At 39.8% G+C, this 12,503-nt stretch overlaps 1 annotated feature.

The window, feature by feature from the left end:
• Positions 4,990-5,708: an enhancer, noted in NCBI's record as "NANOG hESC enhancer chr1:238279047-238279765 (GRCh37/hg19 assembly coordinates)". NCBI's record gives its function as "activates a minimal SCP1, AML or CMV promoter by ChIP-STARR-seq in primed H9 embryonic stem cells {active_cell/tissue: H9 hESC(primed)}" and the evidence as "EXISTENCE:reporter gene assay evidence [ECO:0000049][PMID:30033119]".

Raw genomic sequence — 12,503 nt, forward strand, 5'->3', positions numbered from 1 at the left:
GGATGAAATTTTTATGCAGAGGGAATAGTCTATATGGGCTGAGGTAGGAGTGTAAATGAAGTACATGGATGAGGCCACATGGAAGGACAGAGTGGAGCAGGAAGACAGAGGTGAATGTTTGAGAGGTGATAAGGAGTCAGGTCCTGTGGTGCCGTATAAGCCATTGGGAAGACTTGGGCTGACACTCTGAATGGGATGGAGGAGGGACTCAGAGGAGTCTTCGGGGTAGAGGAGTTAACTGTATGGCTTATGCTCAAAAATAGCTGCTGTTTTGAAGGGAAAATATTTAGGAAAACAAGGGTAGGGCCAGGGAGACCACTCTGGAGCTATTACAATAATGTAGGCAGAGGGATGATGTGGCCTTACACTGGGGCTGGTAGCCACGGGGATGGTGAGAAGAGGTGGTGTTTGGACATATTTTAAAGGTTAAGGCCTTGCAGATTTGCTGCAAAACTGGATGTGCAGTATGTGAGTGAGAGACAGCTGAAGGATGACTCTGAGGTGTTTGTCCTAAGCAAATGGAACAGTGGCATAATCAAGATGGGGCCACTGCAGAAAGAGCTGCTCCAGGCAGGGTTAGGTCCATTTGTACACAGAGCCTTCTTTGTTCCTTACAAAAGTTCTGTGAATGTACTATTATTGTCACTTTGAAAGGGAGAAATGGAATTTGTGAGAATATGAGTAATTTTCTCAGGATCACACAGCTAGGAAAAGGTTGTCTCAGTCTGAGTTGCCCTGAAAACTTGGTCCGAGGAAAACTTGTGTGCAGGTGGTTTATGTGGGAAACAGAGAAGCCCAAGGTGTAGGAGTGAGAGCAGGAAAGAGGAAAAACCCATGTGAGGGCTGTTACTGAATTTGCAGGCAATGAAAGCTAAATTCTACCAGGACTCCTTGAAGCCTCAGAATACCTGCCAGAATTGTCTGCCAGAGGATGTGAGGAGGAGCACTCTCCCTGCTTGGCTCCCGTTTCCTGGAAATTGAAGGTTGCCTGTGGGAGGGTTTACTCCCCTCACTTCTGAGCTTCACATTCGTGCAGTTCTAGAGCTTCTTCTCCATGTCTGTGGTGTCAGGAGAATCCCAGGGCAGAAAATGAAGATCTTCAGTACCATGCCAGGCCAAATATATGTATTCATATGTATATATTCATACAAAGTGCAACTCATATGTATATTCATATTTATATTCATATAACATACACATTCATATATATTATTACATATATTTGAATGATCGGGAGCCAGTGAAATAAAGCAATGCTTATTTATGAAAGAACCAGCCTTTGAACCCAGATTAGGATGCCCAAGCCCTTGGGTCTGAGACTCCCCAGCTGCCACAAACCTGTTCCTGGGCTCACTTTCACCATTAGCTCCACCCTTCAAGGCTCTCTTTAGTCCCACCTTGCTTTGTAATTGGGTCAGAATGATGGGGGAAGCTGTGAGTGAGGCTGGCTGATGATTTTAACTCACCTCACACTAGCTTAATTAGCACTGACCCAACCTGAAGCCTGGGACTCAAGGAAATGCACTGAAAACCTGGGGCTCGACGTGGTGGTATGGAGGAATGGTGCTTTGGAAATAACTCATATAATTATTCGAGTTCTGCTATTCTCATTCTTGCTGGATGTGACCTAGTTAGGTCATTCTTCATCTCTGGGTCTCCATTTTCTCACCAGTAAATGAAGGATTTAGAGCTGACCTGCATAACATTCTAACTCCAGTGTTCTGTAGTTCTATGAGACTTATGATGGGTGAATAATCCTAAAAATGCATCTTTGTGGTGATAAAAAAGAAAACTCCCAAGTTTTAAACAAAAATGGCATTTTTCTGAGTACTTCTTTTCTGTGGGATGCTATGTTCCTGGGGAAATCCATGCACAATCATGCAAATTATTTCCTATTGTTTCTGCAAGTTCACCTTGTTGAAATCCAAGGCTGTAATAGCTTCAGCTGCCTGTTTGTGAAAGTAACAAAAGCAACTGGGATGATGCTAGAATGTTAAAATGCTGATGATAATCAGCATTTGGGTACACACTTGCTTTAGTTGGAGGCAACATTTTGGCTTAAGAAGAAGACTCAAGCCTCCAGCCAGAAAACAAAAGCATAGAAAAAAAGTTATCCTTCCTACTCTCGTTTTACCCAGCTATTTAATCTCTGTAATTATTTCTGTGACTTTGAATGTTATTTTGTTTTATCAGGAACTGGAGGTCAGGATGGCAAATAGGATAATATTTTTATAAAGATTATCATGTCATTTTCTCATTACATTCTCGGGGAAAACTGAAATGAGTTTACACAATATACGTTTTAGTACACTGGCATGATAATGGTTATAATACGTTATTTCTAGTAAGCACTATTGGCTAAGATGTTGTCATCACCCAAGCAGGTTAAATCTATGGGCTACTGAGTGTGAAATGCATTACAGTAAAAGCTTTGAGGGATGTTAATTTCTTTGGTTTAATTTCTAAAAAGACAGCTCGGATATTTCCTTGACAGGAGAGATTGCTAAATCCAGTCAACCAAGAAACAATTATGTATGTTTTAAAATGCAGAGGAAAGATGGATCAATTATCTCTTTGTTATTCCTCACAGTTCTGCATTGAGTGCCATTTAGGATTCAGAAGTTAATTCCTTACTGCATGAAGAGGGCATCATCTATCCTTGTAATTGATGTCTTTGCACCATTTCTTTTCCCATCAATACTTTGTGTGGGAACATGCTCAACAGTGCAGCCTGTCAGAGCCAACATAAAATTGTAATTAACTGTCATGTATTGGTGGAAACCTGAAGCGAGAGAATGCATGTATCCCTTAAAGTATTTGGAGCTTTCAAAAAGTAGGCAATGTGATTTCCAGCATAAAGATGGGGCAGCTGATCAGAATGCATTTTTATGTCTGGTGCCAAGTAATAATTTGGAGAAGGGTAGGAGAATGACCCTCTCTGGAACTGGCCTTAAAGTGTTTGAGAAAAAAAAAACATTATTTCCTTCCAATAACTACAATATTGGAAAACAGTCTTTTGGGAAAGGGTAAGATTTTACTAAAAGTGAGATTTCTTTCTCTTTCTGAGATAGTGACGATGGCTGCATGATATTGTGAATGTGCTTAATACCACTAAAACATGTACTTATAAATAAAGTGGTAAATTTTATCTTAAGTATATTTTAGTATGATCAAAAAGATTTATTTTTTTCCTCTATATCTTTTTTCCAAAAAAACCAAAATAATGCAACAATATATGAAAACCAAGTTAGATTAAACCTATTTGAGATTCAAGAGATAAATGTTTGTTTATTTAGGCTTACAAACTATTGGTCACTATGGCATCTGAGTTTTATGTGTCTCACTTTTTAAAAACTGGGAATCAATTTCCCTTCCAATGTTATGCTGTTTAAAAGATTAGGGCTCTTTTCTTTTTTGAGAAGAATCCAAAGTAGCCCATCTTGTTTTTTACAAAGAAGAAAAACCATTGAGAAACACTTTCTGATTTTCCTAGTTCTTACTACAAGGGAGCAGGTAGAGATGGTGGAGCTGGGAGAAATAAACAGAGGTTAAAATCCTTATATAACCATGAACTCTACTGGTAAATTGAGGTTTCTAATGTTTAAGTAACTGGTTAAGCTGGTGAGGATACCAGAGACATGCAAGACAACCCAGGGTGGTATACGAATTTGAACAGTTGCTTGATATTTTAAAATGACAGTAATATGTTAGTGTTTATAGGCATTTGGCATAGTATTTTTTATTGGCTTAGAGGAAAATACACAATTTTATTTGATATTATTAAAAATTTATTTCCCACATTTGTTTTCTTGGTGGGCATCTTTTAGTTCTTGGCAACGAAAAGAAGAAATGCTTATGGTAGCACCAAGTGGAGAGAACAAATTGTTTCTCCTAATCCCCACAGTGAATTGTTACCACCAAGAGTCAGATTGGTTTCACATTGAGCCTTGAGGTCTTTTATTTTCGAGGTTGGAGCAGAAATCTGCTTTGTCTGCTCAGTACACTCTCATCTTCTGAACACCTAATGTATTCTTTGAAACATCTTCTCTCTCCAGTGTTTTGGGGATTACCATGTTTTGACATGTTTTAATTCCCTAACCACAGTGGATTGGCCCAGAAATGGATGCATGCCCTGATTTTGCCTATAGCTCATTGGCTGATGGTGGGCAAGTGAACCAGGAGTCTTTGGATGGGATTAGGGAAGGGGTGTGTGCTGGTGGTAGTGGTGGAGGTGGAAATGCTTTGTTTGAGGCCATGTTTTCCTCCTTTGTGAGGGAGAGAACAAAGTCTAGAAGCCAAGAAAAGTGGAGACAGTAAATGCAGGTAAATGAACATATATGTAGTGTCCTGGTGGCCTGTCAGACCCTACTTTCAGCCACCATGAGACATCTGTCTATCCCATTTAGATGCTGAAGTATCCCTTTGGTTATATGAGATAACCCAATTTCCTTCCATTAAATACATTTTATTTTCTTAAGCTGTGTTTTAGTTGATTTGGTTCTGGCACTTGCAACTAAAAGTCTTGGCTAATACAAAGGTGAACCTCTTCAATGGGTACGTGAATTTTGGAATTGGATTCCTTCCTTTTTTGTGTGTACCAAGAATGGTCATCCATGAAAAATCTAAATATTTTAAAGGAGGGTTTTTTTGGCCAGCTATCCAAATTCATGATGTAATTCCTCATAGTGGAAAAAGGTCATTTTAGTCTCTGTTGAAGGGTAGGATGGGGTGGTGAGTCTTCAATCTCTGTGGTTTGGCTTCTAAGGATGGAAGAAAGAATTATGTTTTGTAAAATGCATTCCCAAAATTGGTAGCAAAGTAGATTAATATTTTGACAGAACCACTCAGGGCCTGTTAAATACTGGCAATATGTGTTTTTTTTTATTGGTCAAGATTTAAATGTAAAGGTAAGGGCATCTTTGATAGCCCCAGAATATTAAAAGTGTTCCAATTTTGAACAGCTAAAAAGAAATTAATTTCTCTATATTTCCTGCCTCATGTTGTTTTAAGAAGAAGGCTCTCACAATGCAAGTAGTGTTTTTCACTCCAGAAAGAAAAGACCTCTTTTTCCATGAAAGAAATTTTTTTTGAGAATATTTTTCAGTCTGTAAAAAGAAAGTGATATGCTGTAACATCTATCCTATGCCTTTAAAGGTTGGACGTAAAGACTGAACAATTGCAGTACAGGATCCTTAACAGAGGTGAGATCTAAAAGAAGATGAATCCCCTGGCATTGTTCTTCAGAGAAGCCCACTGTGGAGTTTCTCTTTGTTAACATGTTGCTTTATCTCAAGACGTGTTAAGGCCTTTCAAACGGCAATTCTTAGAGTCTTTTATATTTTGACTTAAGGAGTCATTCCATTAGAACAGATTTGCAAATAGGTAAAAAACAAAACAAACCAAAACAAAAGAACAATGTTTAGTAACAGTATGTGGGAACAGTGATATCTTAAAGTGTCTGCCAGGTACATAGCTCTCCTCTCAAAAAAGCAGCTGCAGGAGGATTTGTTTCCTCAAAATGTGCTATGCTTTGTGACATAATCTGGATACCGTGGCCACCATTGTTTGGATTAGGGACCTGGGTCTGTCCTGGAGTAGCCATACAAAAATGAAACATGAGGATATTTGGTGAGAGAAATTTGTCAGCAGAATTCTCTATGCTGGATAGTGACTGATAAGCTAAATCTTCTCTCTATTCTTTGGCATTTGCGATGTGAGACCCAAGAAAATGTGGCAGTTTAGAGCAGCCAAGTTGAAGCAATCCTAATTTCAGCCAGAAATAGGAGCCCATGTATAGAAACCATGGGCCGTGGGGATGGTGGAACTAATTGTTTCTGTAGGGAACACGGTTTGAGGGTCCTTGGCCTCTGCTGTCTTCAATGAGTTTCCTGTTCTGCATGATACCAGGTAATCCAACTTACGGGAAGGTTTCTTGTTTCCTTACATCCCTGAGTATTCATCTATAAAGTCTCTATTACTTTAAGGTGTCTTGAGAAAATCTATTTCTTAGAATATAAAGGGAGTTAGGCAACAAAATAAGCCAATAGGTTATAACCAACTACTTTCTAGCACACTTGTAGAGGGAGATAAAAGAAAAAGTAAAATAAGTGAAATTTGTTATACTCAATACAAATTCATAATAAATAGCAAATATATATATAGTATGTGAAACAAAAATAAAATACTAAGGTTCCCCCAACCACCTGCATGGACTTCCTCCTCAACCAGGGCACTCTGGTTTTTGTTTTTTTTTTTGAGACAGAGTCTCGCTCTGTCGCCGAGGCTGGAGTGCAGTGGCGCGATCTCAGCTCACTGCAAGCTCCGCCTCCCGAGTTCACGCCATCCTCCTGCCTCAGCCTCCCGAGTAGCTGGGACTACAGGTGCACGCCGCTATGCCCGGCTAATTTTTTGTATTTTTAGTAGAGACGGGGTTTCTCCGTGTTAGCCAGGATGGTCTCGATCTCCTGACCTTGTGATCCACCCGCCTCGGCCTCCCAAAGTGCTGGGATTACAAGCGTGAGCCACTGCACCCGGCCCAAGCAGGGCACTCTTAAAATGTAACCTGAAAGACTGGTTCAGGCCATGATGGGAAGTGGGGGTCTCACATGACTCATATACCTCTCTGGCATTAACATCAATACAGACTTGAAGTCTGATAAGAAACATGTTAACCTATTCTCTCTGAAGCCTGCTACCTGAAAGCTTCTTCTGTAAAGAGCTTTGGTCTCCACAGTCCTTTATCTTAACCCAGACATTTCTTTCTATTGATCCCAGGTCTTTAGAGAAACTCAATCAATTGTCAACCAGAACATTTTTAAATCTACCTGTAAGCTGGAAGCCCCCCAACAACCGCAGCCCCACGCCCGCCTCCGCTCTGAGTTGTCCTGCCTCTTAAATGTATCAGATTGAAATTTCATGTCTCTCTAAAATGTATAAAACCAAGCTGCACCTCAACCACTTAGGCACATGTTCTCAGGACCTCCTGACGGCTATGTCATGGGTCATGGTCACTCATATTTGGCTCAGAATAAATCTCTTCAAATATCTTGCAGAGTTTGACTCTTTTAGTTGACAAGCATTTACTTTCTGGCAGACACTAATGTACAGATACACATTTATTTAATCCTGATGACACAACCCTATAGAGAAGGTACTGTTATCATCCTTATTTCACATATGTGGAAACTGAACCACAGAGAGGTTAAGTAACTTGCCCAAAGTCACGCAGGTCATCGATGGTAGCACTGAGTCATCAGCCCAGGCATTCGGACTCCAGGGTACTGGCTACGAACTGCCACGCTATATCGCTACCATACATTTCTACAGGTGTCTGACTTTATTAAAATACTTGATAATCAGAATATGTTACCAATTATGTATGTTTTGGCCTTGGATAAATTACTTAATCAGCCTATGTTTGTTGCATTTAGCAGAACTGTATAATAGAGTAAAAGGCATTTTTCTTGCTACCTTAACATGGTTTTTGTGTGAACAGAGTGTGATCAGCGATGTCAAAACCAGAAAAAGCACTAAATAAGCATAAGACATTATTGGAGCTGTGCTTGTAAAAACCACCCTGCAAGCCAAAGCTTATCTGCAAGATATCAATCAGAACCTGGTGACACTGCCATAGGACACATTTAGAGTAACCTTTTTCTTTATTTTACTTTATTTTACTTTAAGTTCTGGGATACATGTGCAGAATGTACAGGTTTGTTACACAGGTATACATGTGCCATGGTGGTTTGCTGCACCCGTCAACCCGTCACCTAGGTTTGAAGCCCTGCATGCATTAGGTATTTGTCCTAATGCTCCCTCTCCCCTTGTCCCTCACCCCCTGACAGCCTCCGGCGTGTGTGTGTTGTTCCCCTCCCTGTGTCCATGTGTAGAGTAACCTTTTTCTTAAGTAATGCAACCCAACCGTGAAAAATTGTTCAGCTAAAGAAAGAAAAAATAATTTGGTCTAAATTTCTAGAATTTAGACTAAAATGTTTGTACATTGGGGGTTGTGAGATCATAGATTCAGATAGTTATAGGTGAAAGGAATACTGGAGATTAGTATAAAATTAAAACTAATGGCCACTGTGATCTTTCCTGACCTTCTAAAGATGGATCAGGCACTCTTCCCTTGTCTTTACTTAGCATTTTTAAATTGTCCTGATTAAAGGGCATGTTTTATTGTAAATACTCCTGTGCTTGCATATCTTCCTGTTGGATCTTAGAGGCTAACTTGAGGCAAAGAGAATACACATATTGATTGCAATTAACTGTATCCACTCTGATAGAATGGAGTTTGTAATTTAAAAAAGGGAGGGAAGTTATATTTGTTGAACACCTGAATACGTGACAGAGATTGAGTTCATGTCATGTGTTGAATAATTTCCAAAACTGCTCATATGGGGCATTTTCTGAACCGCAGATTAAACTCAGTCCAAGACTAGAGTTGGTGCAAAATCACTGAGGACAGTAACCTTGGTCCTATGGGGAAATAGTCGGCAGGGGGCAGGAGGCATTCAGAACTTGCAGCTAATCTGCCCTCACTCACGTAGGAAACTCTGAGCTTCTTTGCTGCTCTGGACTGTGAAAAAGGAATACTTGCCTGGTCATCCCATTCTAAATGTTTCTTCTGCTTTCAGCTTCATAGGCTTGGAGAAGTCTGAGGTCTTGCTGGCTTCATGGGAAATACCCTGTCCTATTTGCTCCCTGAGCTCTGAGACTATCTTGAGCTTCTATCTTTATTCCTTCATGCTCGGAGGAAGCTGCACAAGCTAGGAAGAAACTGTTGCATACCCAATATCCAGCCTCCATTCTTCCTTTTTAACAGAAGACTGATTTGGGAAAACAATATATTTCTTAGCTCTCCCAGCCCACACCTGGTAGCTAGGGTGGTCACTGAAATATAAGTAGAATTCCTTGAGTGGGGATGGTGGGGAAATATATAAAAGGCAATTAACTTTCTTGGGAGGCTTCTCTTTTTGCTAATTGCTTTTCCTCTTCTTACTTAGGATGCATACTTGATGTCTAGAATGCCAGCAGCCATCCTGTGACTATGGGACAAATGTGAGGGCGGAAGCCAAGGACTGAGCATGGCAGAACAGAAAGATAGAAACAACCTTTGTCCCTAATGGCCTGGTAGATTTGTGCTAACAATGCCTTACTGCCTACCACTCTTGTTTTTACATGAAAGAGTAAGCTACTATTCATTGAGTCACTTTACCCTGGTCTCTACTTCTGGCAGGCAAACAGAGGTCCTTTTTCTTTATTCCACATCAGCCATGTCAAGGCAGACTGAATGGAATTTAAGAATAGCATTAGAGGATTCATGACCTAATTGATGAGGAATTGTTCTGTTGGACACAGACATCCCTAAAGTCCAAAGGCCATGCTTCCTACTCCTCTCTGTCACCAAGTTGCTGGGATCTGTTACTACTCAGAGAGATCCTTCTCTTTTAATTCCTCGTTTCCTTCTCTCTTTCTGGTCCTCATAAATAGAAATGGGTGGAAAAATACCTTAACATACAAATATATTTTCTGCAGAAATCTATTCAAGCCATTAATGGGTTATTTGCATAATTTTCATCATTAATTAGTTGAAACATTTGCATTTGGACTCATTCACAAGTGCCTGGGGCTCCTCCATGGACAGTGATCCCACACTTGACTTACTTCTCAGTGGCCAGGACAGCTCTGTCAAGGAATCCTTCTCAGAACAGAAAGTATCTATACTCAACCCTGAAAAATCCAGTTTTCACCTTTATACTCCTGGAAGCAAATGTTGGCAATTGAAGAATAACTCATTTCCTTCTAGCTGGCAAGGCTTCAGAAATAATCAAGTACGTTCTCTGAGCGCCCCTCCACATGCATCTCTCTGGTGGCAAGGAGATCCTGAGACATTTTATTGAGAAAGCAATGGAAAATGGAAGTAACTGTGTGTATTGATCAAATAATACTGATTTAAAATAACAAAGCATCACTAACATTTTTTTGATGAATATAGTTATATCCCGTTGAATGAGAAAGGAAAAAAATCCTTCAGTATTTGTGGGTATGGCCATATGTTCCTGACTATGACTTCCCTACCACAAAAACTACCAACTACAATTCCTGTCTCACAGATTTTTTTTTAATTTTATGAACTCTTTCTATATATGTCTCCTATAAACTGTAATCTCTTCATAAAAAAGGAATATTTTCACCCTGATTCTAGCCAAGGTCTCAGAAGTGGAAGTAAATGATGAGAATTAATTTTAACTTTAACAATACAGACAGAGCATATTGTTTTATACACCAAGAAAATGAAAAACAATACTCACTGAACTTGGTTACCACTGAAATCTGTATCAAGTTACAACAATAAACAAAAGAACTCTTAATGATAAGTAGGGCATAAGATAAAAACAAACTGTAAGTTGTTCTTTCTAATTTGCCTTTAAGACACAAGAGTAGTGTAACATGAAACGGTAACACTGACAAAAATAACCTATTAGTCAACTTTTCTGTTTTTCAATTTTCAAACTCAACGTGCTGTTAAAGTTTAATTTAAAAATAGTTATAGCTATTAAATGTCTCCAAAGCAAGCAACTTACCTGAAACTTGCTCAAAACTACTATGGAGAAAGGAAAGGAACCAGTGTTCATTTGGTTTCTTTTGTATTCCAAGCTTTTTACCTTAGTTGTTTCCATTTAATTTTCAAAACAATTCTGCAAAGGAGACATACTTAACACTATTACACATGGGACGAAATTGAAGCTCAACTAGAGGCAGTTTACCACGTTCAAATAACTGGTAAGTGAGGGTAAGTGAGGGAAGTTGATGTTAAAACTAGGTTTCTCAAGCTCTGTATTTTTTCACCATTATATGATGTTTTGGTGTTTGCTGTTATGAAGGGACAACTAAAATGTAAGAACAAATAATGGCCAGGATTACAGTGACTCACACCTGTAATCCCAGCACTTTGGAAGGCTGAGGTGGGAGGATTACCTGAGGTCGGGAGTTTGAGAACAGCCTGGCCAACATAGCGATAGCCTGTCTCTACTAAAAATACAAAAATTAACCAGGCATGGTGGTGCGTGCCTGTAATCCCAGCTACTCGGGAGGCTGAGGCAGGAGAATCACTTGAACCCGGGAGGCAGAGGTTGCAGTGAGCTGAGATCGTGCCACTGTACTCCAGCCTGGGTGATAAAGTGAGATTCCATCTCAGGAAAAAGAAAAACACACGCAAAAACAAACAAACAAAACAAATAAGTTTATAAGATGATGTGAGTTCTGTAGGCTAATACAAATGCGTAATTCAAGAAATTAGAAGCCAAAGCCGGGCATGTTGGAATCTTTCCTACCTGAAGGTAAGGTTAGCAGTTGACTCTAGGTGGAGCATAGGCTTCATGAACACTGACAAGGCACAGTGGCCGCCCTCCATCAGCTAGAGACAGTGGGCTAGCAGTTCCCCACGAGGCACAGAAATAGGGTAGGCCATGGATAAGGAGCTACAGCATCCAAAGAAGGGAAACCTATTTGGTTACAGCTTTCCAAACTATGTCCCATGTGTATTAGTCAGGGATCTCCAGGGAAACAAAACCAGTTATACACACACACACACACACACACACTCACAATTTTATATATATATATGTGTGTGTGTATATATGTGTGTGTATATATACGTATGTATGTATGTGTATATATATATACGTATGTGTATGTGTGTATAAACACACATATAAAGAGAAAGAGATTTATTATAAGGAAGAGCCTCATGTGATTATGGGGGCTGATAAGTCCCAAGATCTGTAGAGTGAGTTAGCAAGCTGGAGACCCAGGAAAGCCAATGATACTTTTCCAGTTCAAATCCAAAGGCCTGAGAAGCAAGAGAGCTCATAGTGTAAATTCTAGCCCAAAGGCTGGCAGGCCTGAGACCCAGGAAAAGCTGATGTCTCAGCTCAAGTAGGAAGACAGAAAAAAAATGATGTCCCAGTATTGAGGTAGGTGGAGTCCCCCCTTATCTGAGGGAGAGTCAGTCTTTTAGTTCTATTCAGGCCTTCACCTGTTTGGATGAAGCCCATCCACATGTGCTTTACTCAGTCTGTTGATGGAAATGTTTATCTCATCCAAAAACAGCCTCACAGAAACACCTAGCATCTACTCACCTAGCATCTAAACACCAAACATCTAATCACCCCATGGCCAGTCAAAATTGGCATATGAAATTAACCGTCACACCACGTGCTTACATTTATGTTGTGGTGGAGTAACACCAGGCAGGACACAGGAAGGTTAAGCTTTGAGTGTCCCTTTACTAGTTACCTGCCATTGGTTTTAGTCAATTTATTTTCTCATGAGGACACTAAACTGTGAGGAGAAATGAGATGACATATAAAAGTGATTTACTGAACTGTAAAACACTTTTTAAAAAGTTATATTATTATGATCAGGGTGGTAGTTCAGAAGCATTAACTTTTCAGAGAATAGAGGATTCATACTTTGTAATCCAGGGTGTGACAGCAAGC

This window comes from Homo sapiens, chromosome 1, assembly GCF_000001405.40.
Source record: "Homo sapiens chromosome 1, GRCh38.p14 Primary Assembly".
Taxonomy (NCBI): Eukaryota; Metazoa; Chordata; class Mammalia; order Primates; family Hominidae; genus Homo; species Homo sapiens.